Consider the following 8,365-nt stretch of genomic DNA (forward strand, 5'->3'; position numbering starts at 1 on the left):
CTGTTTTTATTTCTTCATGTCTTTTTTGTCTCGTTTTTGCTAATTCCTTTTATATTCATGGTTATTCTGCTCTTGAAATGTATGCTATGTGAATATATTTGTGAGTTGACAATACTTTATTAGCAATTAAATATACTATTTCTCTTTTTTTTTAGAACTTGCTCAAATGTTACATAACCTCAATATCCTTAGTATCTAAATTAAACTGACTTTCTGAACAATCATCATTTTAAGGCAGTTACCACGATCTACTAAAAAATAAAAAAAAATTAGCCGGGTGTGGTGGTGGGCGCCTGTAATCCCAGCTACTCAGGAGGCTGAGGCAGGAGAATCCCTTGACCCTGGGAGGCAGAGGCTGCAGTGAGCCGAGATAGCGCCACTGCACTCCAGCCTGGGCGACAGAGAGACTCCGTCTCAAAAAAAAAAAAAATAATAATAATAATAAAGGAATTTAAAAAAAGACTGGGTTTAACCATGTTGCCCAGGCCGGTCTGGAACTCCTAGGCTCAAGCAATCCCCCACGCTTGGCCAGTCCAAAGTCCTGGAATCAAAAGCGTGAGCCACCACGCCAGGCCGATCACGCCTGTCATCCCAGCACTTGGGGAGGCGGAGGTGGGTGGATCACCGGAGGTCAGGAATTTGAGACCAGCCTGGCCAACATGATGAAAACCCGTCTCTACTAAAAATACAAAAAAAAAAAATTAGCCGGGTGTGGCGGCAGGTGCCTGTAATCCCAGCTACTCAGGAGGCTGAGGCAGGAGAACCACCAAAACCCGGGATGCAGAATTCGCCGCGAGCGGAGACCCAGCCACTGCACTCCAGCCTGGGCAACAAGAGGGAAACTCCGCCTCAAAAAAAAAAAAAAAAAATAATAATAAGAGACAGATTTTCACCATGTTGCCCAGGCAGGTCTGGAACTCTTAGGCTCAAGCAATTCCCCACGCTCGGTTGTCCAAAGTCCTGGGATCAAAAGCGTGAGCCACCACGCCAGGCCGATCTATTTCTTTCTGATTAATAAATTGGGCCAGGAGGGTGGCTCACGCCTGCAGTCCCAGCACCCCGGGAGGCCGTGGCGGGCGGATCACCTGAGGTCGGGAGTTTGAGACCAGCCTGACCAACATGGAGAGACCTGTCTCTACCAGAAAAAAAAAAAAAAAAAGAGCCGGGCATGGTGGCTCCCGCCTGCAATCCCAGTCACTCGGAGGCTGAGGCAGGAGAACCACCCAAACCCAGAGGCAGAGGCCGCGGGGAGCCGACACCGCACCACTGCACTCCAGCCCTGCAACAAGAGGGAAACTATGCCTCAAAAAAAAAAAAAAAGAGAGAGAGAGAGAGAGACCGGTTTTCACCATGTTGCCCAGGCTGGTCTAGAACTCCTAGGATCAAGGGATCCGCCACGCTCGGCCCGTCCAAACTCCTGGGATCAAAAGCGTGAGCCACCACGCCAGGCCGATCCTTCCTGTCATCCCAGCACTTTGGGAGGCCGAGGTGGGTTTACCTGAGGTCCGGAGTTCGAGACCAGCCTGGCCAACATGATGAAAACCCATCTCTACTAAAAATACAAAATAAATAAATAAATAAATAAATAAATAAAAATTAGATGGGTGTGCTAGCGGGCGCCTGTAATCTCAGCTACTCAGGCGGCTGAGGCAGGAGAATCACTTGAACCTGGGAGGCAGAGGTTGCAGTGAGCCGAGACAGCGCACCACTGCACTCCAGCCTGGGTGACAAAGTGAGACTCCGTCTCAAAAGTATATATATATAAAAATAAAAAATGAAATAAAAATAAATTGGGTGTGTGCGCTGGCTCACGCCTGCAATTCCAGCATCCCCAGAGGCCGAGGTGGGCGGATAACCTGAGGTCTGGAGTTTGAGATCAGCTTGCCCAGCATGGAGAAACCCCGTCTCTACCAAAAACAAATAAAAAAAAATTAGCAGAGCAATGTTGGTCAGGCCTGCAATCCCAGCCACTCCGGAGACTGAGGCAGGAGAACTACTAAAACCCTGGAGGCAGAAGTCGCTGCGAGCGGAGACCCAGCCACTGCACTCCACCCTGGGCAACAAGAGCGAAACTCCGCCTCATAAAAAAAAAAAAAGAGAGAGAGACCGGGTTTCACCATGTTGCCCAGGCAGGTCTGGAACTCCTAGGCTCAAGGGATACCCCGCGCTGGGCCATCCAAAGTACTGGGATCACAAGCGTGAGCCACCACACCAGGACGATCTATTCCTTTCTGATTAACAAATTGGGCCGGGAGCGGTGGCTCAAGCCTGCAATCCTAGCACCTCGGGAGGCCTAGGCAGGTGGATCACCTGAGGTCGGGAGTTTGAGACCAGCCTGACCAACAGGGAGAAACCCCATCTGTACCAAAATAAAAATAAAAAAAAAATACAAAATTAGCCGGGCTTGGTGGCTTATGCCTGCAATCCCAGCCACTCTGGAGGCTGATGCAGGACAACGACCGAAACCCGGGAGGCGGAAGTCGCGGCAAGCAGAGACCCAGCCACTGCATTCCAGCCTGGGCAACAAGAGCGAAACTCCGTCTCAAAACAACACAAAACAAAAAGACCAGGTTTCACCATGTTGCCCAGGCCTGTCTGGAACTCCAAGGCACAAGCGATCCACCCTACTTGGCCGTCCAAAGTCCTGGGATCACAAGAGTGAGCCACCACGCCAGGCAGATCAAAGCGTTGAGCTGAATAAAGAGTTATCTTTTAGCATTTTGTGGAGCCCGGGTAGATCTGTGCAGGGGGAAGCATATTACAGAAGCGAGAAACAGAGGGTTATTTAATTGAAGCACGCATTATGTTTTTTTTTTTTTTTATGTTTTTAGGAAAAATATGTTTTGTGACTTGCATTCGTTTGTTTAGTGACCTTGCAGTTGCACAGTTAGGGAATTAGGGTTTTGATAATGCCTGGGAAGGGAGCGATAAGGCTCACTAGCCATAGGAAAACAGGTAGTTTTTTTAAAGGACTAAGGCTCTTTCTCATTCTCAGGGGGAATTGGTTTTTTTTTACATACAGCTGAGTTTTTGCTTACACATTTTTTCATTTCTTTTAATTCCTGTTCCAATGCCAGCATCCTTGCGGTGCGGTTTCCCAGCGGCTCTCTTGCCTTGCAGCTTGTGTCGGGAGTTGCAGACAGCCATGGCCCATGGGCCTGGCGCTGACGGACCCTGGAGCGGTGTCTGAGGGAGGTGGGCAAAGCCACTGGCTGGCCCGAGAGCATCCTCACGTAAGTGCACAGATCCCGGGCTTGGGTGCGACTGCGGTCGCACGTGGACACGGGTTGCAGACCCCTGGCAAATTGTGGAGCTGGGGGAAGGTAAGGGGAAATGTAAATCACTTTTCCCCACATTTCAGAGGACCTAGGCTATCAAAATTTTAAAAATTGTTAAAACTTTTACAGTATGGATCTCTCAGTTGAATGTTATTGAAATCAACCTAACCTCAGTTATTCACGCCTATAAGCTCCCCTTGAGGCTTATTACGGCCCCCATCCCCCTACACACAACTGTGTTGGTTTCTCCTTCCGCCTGTGCTCCTAAAGCACTCAGTGTTTACCTGCCATCATACTTTATTGAAAACACAAACTTGTCACTTGTCTGTCTACCCCACTAAGCTTCTTGAGAATTAGAACTTTCATGTCTCTTCCCAACACAAACGTTTTATGTGTATTTTGTTGAAGAACTTCAAATATGACCTATAAAATTATGACTCATTTATGTTTCAAACTCCAACCTCTCCCTTGAGTTCCTTGCTCACAAGCAACTCCAGACTGAGCTTAGTTGGAATTCAGTAGCGCACAACTGGGATATCCGCACCGTACGGTTTTTAACAATTTTTTAAATTTTGGTCCTCTCAGCATCACAAATTCACTGTGTCCAAAATACAGTAGAATGCTGTTTCTACCCACCTACACTCTGCCATCCGCTGAAGTCCTTTCCCCTTGCTCCACCACTCAAGCCTTGCCTATCGCACTAAATGGCAGTTCTGTCTCTCCAGTTGCTCGCACATAAAACTAGGCTGCTATTTTGATGTCTTCACTTTTCTCTATTCTGTATCTAATTCCTTAGCAATCCTGTCAGTTCTACCTCCAAACTGTACTCAGCATATTCACTGCTCTAACTCCAGCTTAAATCACCATCATCCTTTGCCTGGAATGCTGCATCAACCTTCTAATCACTCTACTTTCCTCCTCCTCCTTCCTCCCTTTCTTCTTCCTTCGTATAAATCATCATTTCATCCTTCTGCTTAAAATCTTCTCATATTTTCTTATTACACTTAAAACGGCAAACTCTTACCCTTGAGCCCTGCAGAATTTGGCTCCCATCAGTCTCTCCAACTTCACCTTCTGCCTCCTTCACGCTATAGCCATGCTCACTTTTTTTATTCCTCAGGCTTACCAAGCTCAATTGCATCTTAGAGAATTTGTTCTTGCTGTTTCTTCCGCCTGGAATACATGTTTCCCAATCTTTATAAGACTATACTTGTCTGTAAGTTTCATCTCAGATGTCACATCTAGGAGAGGTTTTCCTTGACCACTGTAGCCAAAGCAAATGTTGATCATTGAGTGAATAAGGGAATGAATGAATGGAGTGGTATATAATGTAGCAGAGTAGATAATTTAAGGCTAATTCACTATATATCTCCAAGCAAATAGATTTGTAATGCTTTTCCTGCCAACAATCTATACAGCTGATTCACAAATACTTGGTTGACAGGTTTTATATATCATTGTGGCTCATCAGCTTATATATTGTTGGGGCCAGAATCTATACTTACACTTTATTCAAATTTGATTTTACAGAAGAGTTGAGGTTTTTATTTTTCTTTTAATTAAGAGGGCTGTGAAATTATTATCTATAATTCTAAATCTCATTTAATTCCTCCCAATAGGTTTCAAGATGGATTGGAACCAAAGTTCACTTCTTTAACAAAAGTGCTTTATGACTTTAATAAAACAGTAGAGAATGGTAGAATCCATGGCAGCTCTTTACAAAAACTTGTGATAGAAAGTTTTGATGATGAGCAGACTTTGCAACAACTGGAATTGCAAAATGAAGCAATTTTACCGTGCTTCCAGAATGCGGTTAGTGAAAGAAAGATGAAGATATCAGTCTTCTCCCAGAGAGTGAAGAACAGGAGCATGAAGAGGCTGGTTCAGAAACAGAGGCTGATGGCCAGGAGGACCTAGAAGATTTAGAGGAGGAGGAGGACGTGTCAGATATGGGTGGTGACAATCCTGAAATGGGTGAGAGAGCTAAAAACTCAAGCAAATTCAGGGCCAGGCGCGGTGGCTCACGCCTGTAATCCCAGCACTTTGGGAGGCCGAGGCAGGTGGATCACGAGGTCAGGAGATCGAGACCATCCTGGCTAACAAGGTGAAACCCCATCTCTACTAAACATACAAAAAATTAGCCAGGCGTGGTGGCAGGTGCCTGTAGTCCCAGCTACTCGGGAGGCTGAGGCAGGAGAATGCCATGAACCCGGGAGGTGGAGCTTGCAGTGAGCCTAGATCACGCCACTGCAGTCCAGCTGGGCGGCAGAGTGAGAGACTGCATCTCAAAAACAAAAACAACAATTACTTAACTTTAGGATGCTCCAATAATCAAAATTGATAGTGGCTTGTGAACAGATAGATTACTTGAATAGAATAGAGCCCAGAAATAAACCCAAATGCTTCTGGGGGAGTTTGGTACATTATAAACATGAGATTTTAAATCAATGAGGAAAAGAAATCATTTGCAGCTCACCCCACCATACACAGCAGGAATAGGAAGTCATTGGCAGAATAAAAAGATGGTAAGAACAGAACAGAATTGTAGAACAGTACATTTCTTGCTTCCCCACTTTTCAAAGTATTTTTTGCTTTTTCACAAATGTAAGTGTAATTTTATTTTCTAAATGTATACTAATTCTTTTCTTCTCTTTCTTAGATGAATGACAAAAATTACATCTTTAGAAAAAGAGTTGTTAGAAAAAAGCCTTGGCTGCATGTGGGGGAAGTGACAGCACAGAAGAGACCAGAGAAGAGCCTCCTGGAGGAGAGCCTGCACTTTGACCATGCTGTCCGGATGGGTGCAGTGCTCTTTTCTGCAAAGTGTTCACTTCTCTGCTTTTTCTGTGGTCCCATTTCATAGAAAGATTTGGGGTGATGTTTCTTTCCCTCAACTTTTATTTTGAAAACTTGCAAACACAGAAAAGTTGATAAAATCATACAGTGAACATCTGTATGCTATTCAACTGGATTCACTAGTTAATGTTTTGTCACACTTGTTTTCTGTCTTCTGCGTATGGAAGATTGTATATGTGCCCTTTTTCCCTCTGAATCATTTCAAAGTAAGTTGGCAGTATCAGAGCATTTCACTGTTAAGTACTTTCGCAGATATCTTCTAGGAACCAGGACTTCTCCTATGTAATCACAATACCATTAATCCACCCCCAAAATTTAACATCAATACACTAATGATACCTACTGTATAGATTATAATCAGCTTCCTTGCAGCAATCTGTTTAGAAGGCTTGCATCCTGTCACTGTCCACTGATTAAATTTTGAACTCTAACTTGAAACCCTGGTCATCTCATTGCCTTCTTTCTTATACCCATTAAGTCAAAAGGAGCTCTCATTTTATTTCAACAGAAAAGAGAATGGAAAAGAGGGGAAGAGTCCCTAGTACCTTGGATAAAGTATGAGCACTTACTACCATATGTATTCTAGTTCTGTAGTTTTCAAACTTCAGGGAGCATCTCAAGGCTTATTAAAGCACAGATAGCTGTCCTTCCCCACTTTCTGATTCAGGAGGTGTGGGGCTGGCCCAGGAATTTGCATGTCTAACAAGTTCCCACGTGTTTCTGATGCTGAGGGTCTAAGGACTACAATGCATGAATCCGTGGTTTAGTGGATATCCACCTAATGAATACATGTTGTATTTCCTTTGGCACCCGTGATTACAGAGGAAACACCTTTCAACTGGAAGGTATCATTAAACAGAGGATAAGAGATCAGGTCAGTAAGAATTAAATTTCACTTAATTGAAATGTCACTCAAATGTTTAGAAATAATATGACAGGCCAGGCACAGTGGCTCATGCCTGTAATCCCAGCACTTTGGGAGGCCAAGGCAGACGGATCACTTGAGGTCAGGAGTTCGAGACCAGCCTGTCCAAGATGGTAAAACTTCCTCTCTACTAAAAATACAAAAATTAGCTGGGCATGGTGGTGCATGCCTATAGTCCCAGGTACTCGGGAGGCTGAGGCAGGGGAATCGCTTGATCTCGGGATATGGAGGTTGCAGTGAGCTGAGATGCGCCACCGCACTCCAGCCTGGGCAACAGAGTGAGACTCCATCTCAACATAAATAAATAAATAAATAAATAAATAAATAAATAAATAAATAAATAAGATAAAAATAAAAATAAAGGGAAGATGGGGCAGCTTTGTGTATTGCATGTCCTGAAAACGGGCTGATTTCTCTCAAGAGGCAGGGATTTAAGCTCTGTAGCCTATGTGGGATACATACAGGAGAAAAAAGAAGAAAAAGAAAAGAAATGTAAATATAAATAAATGAAAATAACACTTTTCCATGATTATAAAGGAAATCACATTGTTTTTGTAATAATTTGGATGACAAAATGTAAAGAAAAATCTTTAATTTTGCCACTCAAAACATTCCGGTTTGTTGCTTTTCACACTTTTTATGCTGTAAACATTTTAAAAAGTAGAATCACAATACATGGTCTTTTGTCACTTACTATATTTTAAGCATGTTTCTATGGGAGAAATATATCCTGGCATCATCACTTTCAACAGCTGGATGTATGTTAAGTGAATCATTGCCACCCCAGAGGTGGATTTCCTTCTATATATATTTTAATGGACTCGAGTGAGGATTTTTGCACTGAATTCATAGAAGTAGAATTTCTAGAAGAAAATAATATAAAACAGTTTTAGGATTTTTAAAACAAATGTTCAAATCATCCTATAGGAAAATTGGTTGAGTTTACGCTCCCACCAACAGGGACAGAGCTCCAGGTTCCGCCTTCCATTTGTCGTCTTCGCTGGTCTTTAAGCAGAAAATCTCATTGTTTTCATTACCTTTCTTTGATTTCTAGTGCTTTTGAATCTTTTTCATTTGCTCATTGGCCATTTTTATTCTTGTGGGAAGTGCTGGTTTCTCCATTGCCCATTTTCTGCTGCAAATCATTCATTTTTTTTTTCTGAGTAATTTAAAAGATTTCTTTATAGGCTAAGGATACAAACCTTTAATCTGTCATTGAGGTTACAAAGATCTTCTCCCAGTAAGTAATTTGTCATTTCACTTTATTTATTTATTTTTTGCTAGCAAAGCACCAAAGTCAAATTTC

The 8,365-nt window shown here is 43.3% G+C and overlaps 1 pseudogene, besides 1 other annotated feature; it reads left to right on the top strand.

Annotated features, from left to right (window-relative positions):
• Positions 2,700 to 3,202: an enhancer, noted in NCBI's record as "H3K27ac-H3K4me1 hESC enhancer chr15:28790612-28791114 (GRCh37/hg19 assembly coordinates)". NCBI's record gives its function as "activates a minimal SCP1, AML or CMV promoter by ChIP-STARR-seq in naive H9 embryonic stem cells {active_cell/tissue: H9 hESC(naive)}" and the evidence as "EXISTENCE:reporter gene assay evidence [ECO:0000049][PMID:30033119]".
• Positions 4,885 to 6,079, top strand: MPHOSPH10P8 (MPHOSPH10 pseudogene 8; annotated as a pseudogene).

Source organism: Homo sapiens, chromosome 15, assembly GCF_000001405.40.
Source record: "Homo sapiens chromosome 15, GRCh38.p14 Primary Assembly".
NCBI classification, from domain to species: domain Eukaryota; kingdom Metazoa; phylum Chordata; class Mammalia; order Primates; family Hominidae; genus Homo; species Homo sapiens.